At 39.6% G+C, this 14,617-nt stretch overlaps 1 protein-coding gene across 11 annotated transcripts in view, besides 1 other annotated feature; it reads right to left on the bottom strand.

The window, feature by feature from the left end:
* The window catches only part of TRAF3IP1 (TRAF3 interacting protein 1), an 80,383-nt gene that overhangs the window by 23,414 nt on the left and 42,352 nt on the right, over positions 1-14,617 (bottom strand). The window lies entirely within an intron of this gene.
* Positions 9,856-10,059: a silencer, noted in NCBI's record as "fragment chr2:239276069-239276272 (GRCh37/hg19 assembly coordinates)". NCBI's record gives its function as "represses an EF-1alpha promoter that drives an FKBP-Casp9 reporter gene in an ReSE screen in HepG2 liver carcinoma cells {active_cell/tissue: HepG2}" and the evidence as "EXISTENCE:reporter gene assay evidence [ECO:0000049][PMID:32094911]".

The following is a 14,617-nucleotide window of genomic DNA, read 5'->3' as shown; positions in this document are numbered from 1 at the left end:
GAATCATCTCAATCGACCCAGAAAAAGCATTTAGTAAAATTTAACACGCATTAATAACCAAGCCCCACAGTGGGGGGGGAACCTACAAAAACTTAGCCAGGCAGAGTGGCACTCGCCTGCAGTCCCAGCTACTTGGGAGGAGGAAGGATCACCTGAGCCTAGGAAAGCAAGGCTGCAGTGAGCCATGATTGCACCACTGCACTCCAGCCTGGGTGACAGGGAGGCCCTGTCTCAAAAAAAAAAAAAAAAAAAAAAAGAAAATCAGGAAGGAAGGAAACGAGGTTACCCACAATCACCATTACTATTCCTACTCTAGCAGAGGGCCTAGCCACAGAAATGCAACAGTAAGAGGGAATTAAATGCCTAAGACTGGAAAGAAGGAAATGAAGCCATCAGGACTTTCAGATGACACAGACAATGGTGCGGAGCTTGGGCTAAAGGCATGGACTCTGGGTGCGATTGCCTGGGCTTGAATCACTCCTCTGCCACTCACCACTCATACGGCCCCGGACACGTTCCTTAACCTCCAAATGCCCCAGTTTCAAAATGGGTAACAACAGTGCCCGAGTCTCACTATGACCTATGTTATTAGCTGTCTTAGAACAGAGCCTGCACACCGTGCCCTATTAGGTGTTTGCTGCTATTACAGCGAAGAAAACAGAAAAGACTCAACAGACACGTTTAAAGCAAACAGTTTTAAATGAAGCTGGTTATAAGTCAACAGCATTACTATCTACCAGCAATCAACAACTAGAAAACAATTTTAAATAAATATACAGTATTTATAATAGCAGATAAACTATAAATACCCACATATAAATCTAACAAAAGATACGAACAACCTTAACAAATCAAATTATAAACATTCACTAAAAGACTTTAAAGCAAGTCTAAATAAATGGAGAGATAGTTTTGTTCATAAATACTCCAACTGAAATCCCAAGAGGGTTTTTCACGGCACTCAATAAGCAGGTTATAATATGTAGATGGAAGTGGACAAGACCAATAATTGCCAAAACATAGCTGAAGAAGAGGCATAAGGCGGCAGGGGCTTTGCTACCAGACACAAGGCCTTGTTCTGAAGCTACAGTCATTACAGCAGGGTGGTATCAGTGCGGGCCAGTGGAGCAGTATAAACTACAGCCTGTGGACCGGCCCACCACCTGGATTTCTCTATAGCCCATGAGCTAAGAATGATTTTTTATTTATAAATAGTTGAAAAACCCAGTTAAAGGATAATATTTTGCAGCACATGAAAGTTATACAAAATTCACGTTTCAGTGTCCATAAATAAATAAAGCCCTATTGGAAACCAGCCACGCTCATGCATTTATATATTGCCTGTGGTTGCTTTTACACTACAATAACAAAGTTGAGTAGTGGCAACAGAGATTACATGGTTCTCATGGCTGAAAATATTTACTACCTGACCTTTTACGGAAAAAGTTTGCTAACCTCTGGGGCAGAGAACACAGAAAGAGTTCCACGCATATGGAACTTTCATATTCAGCAGAGACAGCATTGCAGATCAATGGGGAAAGGAGGAAAACTTGGTTATCCATATGAGGAGAGAAAAAAACTACACTTCTGTCCCACAGAATACAGGAAAATCAACTCCAGGTGGATTAAGCATGTACATGTCAAAACAAAGCTTTACTTTTTTAAAAAGAGTAAATATCTTTCTGACCTTGGAATACAGAAGGATTTCTTAACCGACTCGCCAAAAGCATTAACCATAAGAGAAAAGATTGAAAAGTTTGATTAAAATTAAAAATGTCTTTAAAATGTCATTGAAAGACACCATAAAGAAAGTGAAGATGAACTCAGCTCTGGACCAAGCAGAACTAATAGACATCTACAGAATTCTATACCACAAATCAACAGATATACATTCTTCTCAGCACCACATCGCACTTATTCCAAAATTGACCACATAATTGGTAGTAAAACACTCCTCAGCAAATGTAAAAGAACAGAAATCACGACAAGCTGTCTCTCAGACCATAGTGCAATCAAATTAGAACTCAGGATTAAGAAACTCACTCAAAACCGAACAACTACATGGAAACTGAACAACCTGCTCCTGAATGACTACTGGGTACATAACAAAATGAAGGCAGAAATAAAGATGTTCTTTGAAACCAATGAGAACAAAGACACAACATACCGGAATCTCTGGGACACATTTAAAGCAGTGTGTAGAGGGAAATTTATAGCACTAAATGCCCACAAGAAAAAGCAGGAAAGATTTAAAATCAACACCCTAACATCACAATTAAAAGAATGAGAGAAGCAAGAGCAAACAAATTCAAAAGCTAGAAGGAGGCAAGAAATAACTAAGACCAGGGCAGAACTGAAGGAGATAGAGACACAAAAAGACCTTCAGAAAATCAATGAATCCAGGAGCTGGTTTTTTGAAAAGATCAACAAAACTGATAGACCGCTAGCAAGACTAATAAAGAAGAAAAGAGAGAAGAATCAAATAGATGCAATAAAAAATGATAAAGGAGATATCACCAGCAATCCCACAGAAATACAAACTACCATCAGAGAATACTATAAACACCTCTACACAAATAAACTAGAAAATCTAGAAAAAATAGATAAATTCCTGGACACATACACCCTCCCAAGACTAAACCAGAAAGAAGCTGAATATATGAATAGACCAATAACAGGCTCTGAAATTAAGGCAATAATTAATAGCCTACCAACCAAAAACAGTCCAGGACCAGACGGATTCAGAGCCAAATTCTACCAGAGGTACAAAGAGGAGCTGGTACCGTTCCTTCTGAAACTATTCCAATCAACAGAAAAAGAGGGAATCCTCCCTAACTCATTTTATGAGGCCAACATCATCCTGATACCAAAGTCTGGTAGAGACACAACAAAAAAAGAGAGTTTTAGACCAATATCCGTGATGAACATTGATGTGAAAATCCTCAATAAAATACTGGCAAACCAAATCCAGCAGCACATCAAAAAAAAGCTTATCCACCATGGTCAAGTTGGCTTCATCCCTGGGATGCAAGGCTGGTTCAACACACACAAATCAATAAACGTAATCCATCACATAAACAGAACCGACAAAAACCACGATTATCTCAATAAATGCAGAAAAGGCCTTCGACCAAACTCGACAGCCCTTCATGCTAAAAACTCTCAATAAACTAGGTATTGATGGAACGTATCTCAAAATAATTAGAGCTATTTATGACAAACCCACAGCCAATATCATACTGAATGGGCAAAAACTGGAAGCATTCCCTTTGAAAACCAGCACAAGACAAGGATGCCCTCTCTCACCACTCCTATTCAACACAGTGTTGGAAGTTCCGGCCAGGGCAATCAGGCAAGAGAAAGAAATAAAGGGTATTCAATTAGGAAATGAGGAAGTCAAATTGTCCCTGTTTGCAGATGACATGATGGTATATTTAGAAAACCCCATTGTCTCAGCCCAAAATATCCTTAAGCTGATTAAGCAATTTCAGCAAAGTCTCAGGATACAAAATCAATGTGCAAAAATCAGAAGAATTCCTATACACCATTAACAGACAGAGAGCCAAATCATGAGTGAACTCCCATTCACAATTGCTACAAAGAGAATAAAATACCTAGGAATCCAACTTACAAAGGATGCGAAGGACCTCTTCAAGGAGAACTACAAACCACTGCTCAACTAAATAAAAGAAGACACAAACAAATGGAAGAATATTCCATGCTCATGGATAGGAAGAATCAATATCGTGAAAATGGCCATACTGCCCAAAGTAATTTATAGATTCAATGCCATCCCCATCAAGCTACCAAAGACTTTCTTCACAGAATTGGAAAAAACTACTCTAAAGTTCATATGGAACCAAAAAAGAGCCCGCATTGCCAAGACGATCCTAAGCAAAAAGAACAAAGCTGGAGGCATCACGCTACCTGACTTCAAACTATACTACAAGGCTACAGTAACCAAAACAGCATGGTACTGGTACCACAACAGAGATGTAGACCAATGGAACAGAACAGAGGCCTCAGAAATAACACCACACATCTACAACCATCTGATCTTTGACAAACCTGACAAAAACAAGAAATGGGGAAAGGATTCCCTATTTAATAAATGGTGCTGGGAAAACTGGCTAGCCATATGTAGAAAGCTGAAACTGGATCCCTTCCTTATACCATATACAAAAATTAATTCAAGATGGATTAAAGACTTAAATGTTAGACCTAACACCATAAAAACCCTAGAAGAAAACCTAGGCAATACCATTCAGGACATAGGCATGGGCAAGGACTTCATGACTAAAACACCAAAAGCAATGGCAACAAAAGCCAAAATACACAAACGGGATCTAATTAAACTAAAGAGTTTCTGCATGGCAAAAGAAACTACCATCAGAGTGAACAGGCAACCTACAGAATGGGAGAAAATTTTTACAATGTACCCATCTGACAAAGGGCTAATATCCAGAATCTACAAAGAACTTAAACAAATTTACAAGAAAAAAACAAACAACCCCATCAAAAAGTGGGCAAAGGATATGAACAGACACTTCTCAAAAGAAGACATCTATGCAGCCAACAGACACGTGAAAAAATGCTCATCATCACTGGTCATCAGAAAAATGCAAATCAAAACCACCATGAGATACCATCTCACGCCAGTTAGAATGGCAGTCATTAAAAAGTCAGGAAACAACAGATGCTGGAGAGGATGTGGAGAAATAGGAATGCTTTTACACTGTTGGTGACAATGTAAATTAGTTCAGCCGTTGTGGAAGACAGTGTGGTTATTCCTCAAGGATGTAGAACTAGAATTACCATTTGACCCAGCAATCCCATTACTGGGTATATACCCAAAGGATTATAAATCATTCTGCTATAAAGACACATGGACATGTACGTTTATTATGGCACTACTCACAATAGCAAAGACTTGGAACCAACCCAAATGTCCATCAATGATAGACTGGGTAAAGAAAATGTGGCACATATACACCATGGAATACTATGCAGCTATAAAAAAGGGATGAGTTCATGTCCTTTGCAGGGACATGGATGAAGCTGGAAACCATCATTCTAAGCAAACTATCACAAGGACAGAAAACCAAACACCACATGTTCTCACTCATAAGTGGGAGTTGAACAATGAGAACACATGGACACAGGGCAGGGAACATCACACACCGGGGCCTGTCGGGGGGCAGAGGGCTGGGGGAGGGATAGCATTAGGAGAAACACCTAATGTAAATGACGAGTTGATGGGTGCAGCAAACCAACATGGCACATGTATACCTATGTAACAAACCTGCACATTGTGCACATGTACCCTAGAACTTAAAGTATAATAAAAATGAAAAAGAAAGTGGAGAAAAAAACTTTTAAATGAATGTTACTTTAATGTGATTTTACTTCCCTTGACTCCCTCAACCCTACCATCTATTATTATTATGTTATTCTTCCACAAAACTATTTTTTCAAGAACTAGTTTAGGGATTTTGCATTCAATTCTGTAGTTATACTCAATTCTATATGCTTAATCAGTTTCAATAATCAATTTTAATTCATTTCACCTATACCAATGCTGCCCAATAGAAATATGCAAGCCATATACGTAATTTAATATTTTCTACTAGTTTCACTTTAAAAGTAAAAAGAAACAGATGAAATTAGTTTCAATAAATTTTATTTAATGTGATATATACAAAATCATTTCAACATGTAATCAATATAATAATTTCTAATGAGATAGTTTATATTCTTCTTTTCCAACACCATATTTGAAATCTGGTGTGTGTTTTATACTTAGGATATATTTCAGTTGGGATTCGTCAGTTTTCTAATACCCCCACCACATGGGCGAGTGGCCACTGCGCTGGTCATCCCAGGCCCACACTCAGGCTTTCCTTAGGCTTAGGTTTGGAAGAATATAAGAACAATCTTTTTTTGAGCTCTTGCATTATCTGGATGTGTCTTCCACTGTTTTTATGTATGAAATGACAATCTAGCTAAATAGTAAGAATCTTGGGTCAGTTTCTTTCTCTCCAAATGTTGAAGCAACTGTTCCTTTTTCTTCTGGCATTTAGGGCCACAGAGAAGTCTACAGCAAATCTGACTTTGGTTCTTTTCAAAAGAACCTATTTTTTCTTGATGTACAATATACTTGTAGGATTGTTTTTGGTTGTTCCCCCCACCAAAAAAAACAAAAACAAACCGAAAAAAACACCTGATCTCAACAATACTGCCAATATTGTGAGTTTCCTTTTTACCTGGCACATGAAAGCCCTTTTCAAGTGCAGACTCATAGAAGGTCAAGCTTCACGCTCTTTACGAAAAGTACAAAGCACCTCTAAAAAACAGACTTTCAATGTCGCATTAACTGAGATCAGAAAGCTAGTAAACTTCGTTCTTATCACATTTTACTCAGAAATCTATATTACTGTCCAAACGACAAATGTCCAAATTGTGGCAGAAAACCACATTACAAGAGAACTATGCCCGCTCCCTAGCACTCAGAGGCCTCGTGATGGGCTTAAAGCACCCCCTGGTGTTAGCATGGGGCTCACCAGAGGCTACAGCATGAAAAATGTCCGTAATTCCCCTAAATGCACATAGCTTCGTTTTTCACCTCTGGCAAGTGCTTCCCCACATTTTATCATTCATTCCCTTCCACTTCCCCCTTTCTCTTCTAACTTCTGTTCAACTGGCGATGAAATTCATCTCTTCAACAGTTGATGACATGCACTTAACGTCCACTGCTATGCTAGCCACGAGAGGGAGATGAGAGGCACTGGTCTTCACCTTATGAGATGCCCATTCCAGGGGAAAGTCAGTAACTGATCTTCCCTCCTGAGCCATTTGGTCCTGAAGCCATGAAGTGGGCAATGCCAGGGAAGCATGTACACTAGGCTGGGGGTGGGAGAGCCCGGGGTAGGGAGAATGGAGGCAGGAGCCCAGCACAGGAGGGAGAGGGCACCCACACGGCCAGGGAGACCAGGTAGGGAGGGCACAGACATTTGCACACACACATGTACACACACATACACAGACATGCACATACACATATATCACAGACATAGCCATGCATATATACACATGTACACATGCATGCAGACATGCACACGTATACATGTATACACTCAGACACGCACACATACGCATACACAGACATGCACAATACAGACATAAACATACACACATGCACACACAGACACAGACATTCACATAGACATGCACACACATATATACACATGCACACTTACAGACACACATACACGTTCACATATATACACACATACATACAGACATGCACACACGCATATATAACAAACACAGACACATACATTTTCCCCCTCTAGCTCTGTTCACTGAGATGACCTGAGAGCTGAACCTCCAAAAGTGGCAAACACTCCATTCTCCAATCAAAGGACCCAGGTCTCCTGGGGAAATGGCTGATTCTGGGGCTGGAGCAGGGAAAGAACAGGATGAGCCAGAAAGCAAGGAACAGCTCAAAGAATGCTGGGCGCAGGCTGAAAGGACACAAAGCCAGCTTGAAGGAGCTCTCCAGAGCCAAATCTGAGGCCATCTGCGCATGAAAATCATGGCAGTAAGAGATTACAGCCCACAGAGTCCAAGTGGAAGGCACAAGCCCATAATGATACAAACAAATGATTAAACTTAGTGAAGCACAGGGTACTTCGATTGTACAAAGTACTTCCTCCAAAATGCTAGTAATTACAAAGAGAAAAGGAGCGGCTTGACTGCAGAGAAGCTGGCAGACAGCATCCACATCGAGAGGCCACGGAGAGCGTCTGCAGTCAGGAACAATCTGAAACCTTGAACCACTCAGCAAGACGCAGCAAAGGCAGCACAGCCTCGTTTCTGGAAGGTTTCGGCCCAGGATGCAAAGTCTGACTCTAATCACAAGGAAACACCACACAAACCCAAACCGGGGGCCAGTCAGGAAAATAGCTGTACTGTTCAAAACTGTCAAGGCCAAATCAAGGGAAGAGCACAGACTGTTTGAGACTGAAAGAAACTTACAAAACACCTAACTCATTCTGGACTGGATGCTTCTGCAACAAAAAGCAGCAGAGCCAGAAAGCTCCCGCATGGAAGACAGTGGAACGCGCTCCACTTTTAATATCACTACCATTAATCTCTGAAGGCTCTGAAGTTCCCAAAAGTGTCTTTCACAAGTGAATGCTTTGCCTGCTTCTAAACCCGCTTTTCTTAGAAAGCTAATTTCAAAATTGTTAAAAATATATATTTACTTTAATTGCTTGGTTATTACTATTAAAATAACAGCATTATTTTCTATCATTTTTTACTGTAAATGAACTCTACTTGTACAAAGTACTTTTATTGTAGTACAATAAAAGCTTTGTTAAGCTACCTAGAAACCCAGTCAGAACCCAAAATACTAATATACAGAAATTACTCCCAAGTTTTAAAAACTAACATGGTGCATCATGTAAGAGTATAGACACAGTGTATTTTATTTACAAAGTATTTATCAATGGCCAGGCGCAGTGGCTCACGCTTGTAATCCCAGCACTTTGGGAGGCCGAGGCGGGTGGATCGCCTGAGGTCAGGAGTTCAAGACCAACCTGGCCAACATGGTGAAACTCTGTCTCTACTAAAAATAAAAAAAAATTAGCTGGACATGGTGGCAGGCGCCTGTAATCTCAGCTACTAGGAAGGCTGAGGCAGGAAAATCACTTGAACCTGGGAGGCAGAGGGTGCAGTGAGCCGAGATCACGCCATTGCACTCCAGCCTGGGCAACAAGAGTGAAACTCCGTCTCAAAAAAAAATTATTAATAACAATATCTAAAATAAATGTATTTCTACTTTATTTTCATTTTTTTTCTTTAAGGGATTTAAGAATATTCCTGAAAATATAAAACTTACATAGAGCAAAGCCTGGTATAATACAAGCCCTTCACTAAGTGAATGTCAGTCCTGCCCTCTGTGACAAGTATTGTAAGTATTATCAAGAGGCTTTATTAGTTTAAAAGGGGTCACATCTGGGGATGGAGGAAGTCTACTGGCCAGAAGAAACCGTACGGAGATTTCAATCAGAAAAACCTTAATAACAGTCCAATATGAAAAATTATATATGCATCACTGCTATAAATAGGAAATCGAAGCATTTTAATGCCAAGAATCTTAGTGTTTCTTTACTCTAAAATATCCCCTATAATCCATACCCTGGAGAAAAGTAATAAAGTTGTGCCATTGTTTCGTCCATTTCAGCCCTCCTGAGCCTGCTTTACCCACATTAAATTAAAAACTCAATAAAACCTAATTCATTCAGCCAAGTCCTGTTCCTCTAGTGATAGCTCTTCACTGGAAGCTGCTTTTCAGGTCAGAAACAGACAGCAAGGAATAATAGATGGGAACTAGAAAAATACATGTGTGTCTCACAACAGTAAGCACAAGTGAATATGTTTTGGAAAGGACAAAAATACTAACTAACACTTTTTAAAAACACAAATTTCCCTTTTTTTTTTCAAAGGGAAGCTGAAGAAATATGGAATTTAAGGATTAAAATAATTCTCGAAATAAGTTGCTCCAAAAAAAGCAGCTCAACGCGCCCACCCCGCACTGAGACAGGGAGGCACAGGCTCCGGGCCTGGGGCATGCTGGAGCCGCGGTGCTGCTCCCTCCTGTGGTCAGAACCTGTACTTTGGGGCTAGATAAGAGTTTGGATCCAGGCTCTGGAGTGCAAGGCCTTGGGCAAGGGACTGAGACTCTCCTAAGCCTCAATTTCCTCAGCAGTGAGTTGTGGTGCAGGTGCAGGAGGCCATGCGTGGGAAGCCCTGCACAGAGAGGGCTCGGTGGCGCAGGCTCTCGGTCCCACCGCGGTCTCTCCCGTGTCCCACAGTCTCTCTGAGAAAGCTCAGTCCCACGAGGAGCAAGAGCTGTCACAGCCACCACCACATGCTAAGGGGACCCCAGCCCATGCTGAGCGTGCACCAAAGGCCCAAGCCCACTCGCTCAGCTAGGTCGTTTCTAAACCATTCCTTTCAAGGCCTAATGACTAACAGATTTTAACAATTTCATGATGTCTCACTGGGTAGCTTCTGAAGTCTTCACACCTCTTCAAACTAGTGAGATCCACATCTTCAGTCTTCTGTTGCAGGGCGCTGAGGCTTCTGAAACTTGTGCCACATCCCCTTTGATTTCTCTACTTACTGCTCTCCAGATACCTCCTACACTTCTCTCCACTGAGCTGGGGCATTGTTTAGTAGTCAATGTGACTAAATTCTATTTAATTCTAATCCTTATCCACTAATTTTCTTTTTTTTTTTTTTTTTTTTTTTTTTGAGACAGAGTCTTGCTTTGTCACCCAGGCTGGAGTGCAGTGGTGCGATCTCGGCTCACTGCAACTTCTGCCTCCCAGGTTCAAGCGATTCTCCTGCCTCAGCCTCCTGAGTAGCTGGGATTACAGGCACGTGCCACCACGCCCGGCTAATTTTTGTGTATATTTAGTAGAGATGGGGTTTCACCTTGTTAGCCAGGATGGTCTCAATCTCCCGACTTCGTGATCTGCCCGCCTCGGCCTCCCAAAGGGCTGGGATTACAGGTGTGAGCCACCACACCCAGCCTCCACTAATTTTCATCCTGGGGCTAACACAACATCATTCCCTCATATATCCATTAATGTGTCACAGTGAGTATATTTAAACACCAGGGTCTACACTACTTAGAAACTGAATTGACATCCAAGGCAGGCTGTCAAAACCAATCAAAAATAAAGATTTTTTTTTATGCAAAGCACAGAAAAGGGTACTGGTGAAATTAAGACCAGAAATAACCTATCAGGCCACAACTGACTAAAATCTAAAAAACCGAGGACATAATATGAATTTCAGTGACATTTTCAGTAAAAATAAAATCTTTATTGATTATATTATCATTCACTGAGTAATCATGAACCAGAAGATAATGGGCATATCAATTTGGAAATGTTTGTGACAATACAGCTAAACACATTTTTATAATACAGTTTTCTTAAGTCATTTATATGTGTATCTATTTTTTTTTCAGGTAAAGAACTCATATTTTATCCTTATCATGAACTTTATTTGTCTATAGAGAAAAGGCCTATCTCCTCCTAATTATCTTTATAAAGTTCATATACATGTAATATTTTAATGGCTTCCAAATCATTTTTGTGGTCTATAATACACCCATGGCATATGTTTATAAATATTTTAAATGATATAGCTGGTGCCTGATTTTTCTTTTTTTGAGATGGAGTCTTGCTTTGTCGCCCAGGCTGGAGTGCAGTGGCGCGCGCGATCTCTGCTCACTGCAAGCTCCGCCTCCCAGGTTCACGCCATTCTCCTGCCTCAGCCTCCCGAGTAGCTGGGACTACAGGCGCCTGCCACCCCTTTGTATTTCTGGTAGAGATGGGATTTCACCATATTAGCCAGGATGGTCTCGATCTCCTGACCTTGTGATCTGCCCGCCTCGGCCTCCCAAAGTGCTAGGATTACAGGCGTGAGCCACTGCGCCCAGCCGGTGTCTGATTTTTTATAAGATAATGGGGTGGTAACAAATTTTATATCCAAAACTTAAAATCTCCAGCCTGCATATTGTAAGATACTGCATTCAGAGATTTTACTTGGGAACATAAAACTATCACCTTATTTCTTTAAAAACAAAAACAAAACCTCTAAGAAACAAACAAAAAACCCCACCATATAACCCTTCATGATTAGAATCAATTTCAGTAGTTCCCAATTTAACTATTAAAGTCTTACCAACAGAGTATGTCTCTTTTTATTTTTATTTATTTATTTATTTTTATTTTTATTTTATTTTTTTGAGACAGGTCTCACACTATCACCCAGTCTGGAGTGCAGTGGCGCGAGCTTGGCTCACTGCGGCCTCAAACTTGTGGGCTCAAGCCATCCTTCTGCCTCAGCCTCCCGAGTGGCTGGAAACACAGGTATGCACCACCATGTCTGATTGTTTTTAATTTTTGTAGAGATGGTGTCTCGCTATGTTGCCCAGGCTGGTATCTAACTCCTAAGCTCAAGTGATCTGCTTGACTTGGCCTCCCAAGTGCTAGGATTACAAACGTTGGCCACCGCGCCTGGCCCATTTTTATTTCTTTAACAACAATTTCAATGGAAACAATATTCCTAGCAAAGGAAAAATCCAATAATACTAGGACCAAAAATACCCAAACTAAAAATACTGTTGTCAGGTGTAGAATTTTCAGGTAAGGAGAGATTCTGAATAGCATTTTTCTGAAAGAGTTATAGTATTTGTGATGAAACTGCACCATCTACCTACCAAAAAAAGAAATTTGAGGATCTATTCCTATCACCAAAGTGAAATAATTTAAGACTCAAATCCCTGACTTTCATCAACAATTTAGCTAAATACTATTTGTTATATGCCACTGACTTTAATTAAAACATAACTTGTTCACGATAAGGTCATTGTATCCATCAAGAGGCATTTCAAGATACAAGAAGTTCTTACATTCCCAAATAAATGCCTCTTTAAGACAGTCATCCATGCTAGTCATTCTAGCAATATTTGCTTGCTTATTACAACTTTCTTTCAGAATGGCAACAAAAAACATATATGCAGGTCAAATTCAATACATGCCCACCTGTTCTCACCAGGACAAGATATGGGCGTGACGTCTAGCAGTCCCAGAACAAGGCACGGTTTATAAGATCAAGAAAGTAGAGAAGAGAGCAGTCACAAAACCTTAAAATGAAGAAAGAAGGAAATCTACAAAAAGAAGTACTCCAATAGCTATTTCAAAATAAAAAATTTAAATGAAAAGAAAAAGCATCTAAAAATCATATTTATTAATAATTAGATATAAAATGAAAAAGAGAAACAAAGGGAAGATCATGTAAAAGGAGACTGAAAAATTAGGAGTGAGAAATATTTAAATACTTTAAAGTGAGTGAACAGTCTTCAAAACTGTTGGCCATTAGCCTAAAGCATCCTCATATATAAACCTTTAGAAAGCCTAAGAAACACTGTAATAAAATGGTTCTTTTGATGGTTTTTCAAAAACTTCTTCATAAACCTGAAGAAAGAAAAAAAAACGCTGGCAGGAGCTAATATCTTACTATTAACAAAGTTTATATTTCCTCTTGAAAAGAGAGCAAAAAAGTCAGGATAATGAAGAAAACGCTTAAAGCAATCTGATTCACATATTTATTCTATAATGTATTATTCAAGTCCATTAGTACAATAAGAAATGGCTTTACTTCCAATGCAACTTCAAAGACAGGCTGGAGAGAGGCCCAAATTACAAATATGCATTTCTTTAGCATTGAAAAAATCCTCCAAAAAAATAAAAAGTATCAAGACTAAGGAAGGGCACACCACAATTTATGTGAAAAGCACAGAAAACACCTGTTTTGTATTTTTTAATGAGACAGAGAGAAAATAAGCAATTATTATGATAACATGTATAAATCGATAATGGTGATAGATTCAGCATACATGCTTTGAGGATACATTTTTATTTTTATTTATATATTTTTTTTGAGACAGAGTCTCGCTCTGTTGCCCAGGCTGGAATGCAGTGGTGCAGTCTCGGCTCGCTGCAACTTCCACCTCCTGGGTTCAAGCAATTATCTTGCCTCAGCCTCCTGAGTAGCTGAAACTACAGGCACACACCACCATGTCCGGCTAATTTCTGTATTTTTAGTAGAGACGGGGTTTTACTGTGTTGGCCAGGCTAGTCTTGAACTCCTGACCTCGTGATCCGCCCACCTTGGCCTCCCAAAGTGCTGGGATTACAGGTGTGAGCCACCGCACCTGGCCTGAGGATATAGTCTTACATTTGCCTCTCTGTGAAATCAACAACGGTATGTGGAAGCCTGGACCTGAAGTATGTCTAGAAGTAAGCAGCTTTGCAAGTACTTTGAAACACAAAACTGACCACCAAATAGGCCACATTAAAAGTCTCATCAATTCCAAATAATCAATTTCATTACATTAGATATTATCATTAAAAAGACTTTTAAAAATCTTTATGTGTAAAAAACTAAAAAAAGAATCCCAACTGCCCATATGTTAAAATTGTAACAAAGTACTTCATATTAAAATTCAAGGAATTTTTAATATTCAATATCAATTTTCAATATTCAAGGAATTTAGAAGTCAAGGATAAACCATGCTTAAAAGGAGCTGTGCAATCGGAAATATATGTAGGTTTAAAACGACAACGACTCAAAATAAAGGAGCTGTGTGCTTTATTCAAGAGACTAGGAAAAGTCAATGCCCAAAGAAATTAAAAGGAATAACAGAGTAGAAATTAATCAAATAAAACAAAAGTGAGTATCTATAAAACTGAAAGTTGATTCTTTGCTAGAGAGTGTTTATTTTAATAGTTTTTTCAAAGTCTCACCAAGAAATAAAAAGACACAAAATTTTGGGAAGAAAAGAAAAACTAAGTATAGATAAGATATTTTAAAATCATAAAGGCTACTTCAAACATCTTTATGCCATGACTGTAAGACATGAATGAAATAAACAATTTCCTAGAGAAACATTGTGGAAGAGACAGCTGGTCGACCCTGTTTCTGATCTCCGCTTTGGCAAAGCTTCCCGCCACTGTGTGCGGCCCACATG

Source organism: Homo sapiens, chromosome 2, assembly GCF_000001405.40.
Source record: "Homo sapiens chromosome 2, GRCh38.p14 Primary Assembly".
Classification (NCBI taxonomy): domain Eukaryota; kingdom Metazoa; phylum Chordata; class Mammalia; order Primates; family Hominidae; genus Homo; species Homo sapiens.
Note: the sequence above shows the minus strand (reverse complement) of the source record. Positions and strands in the feature narration are given on the sequence as shown.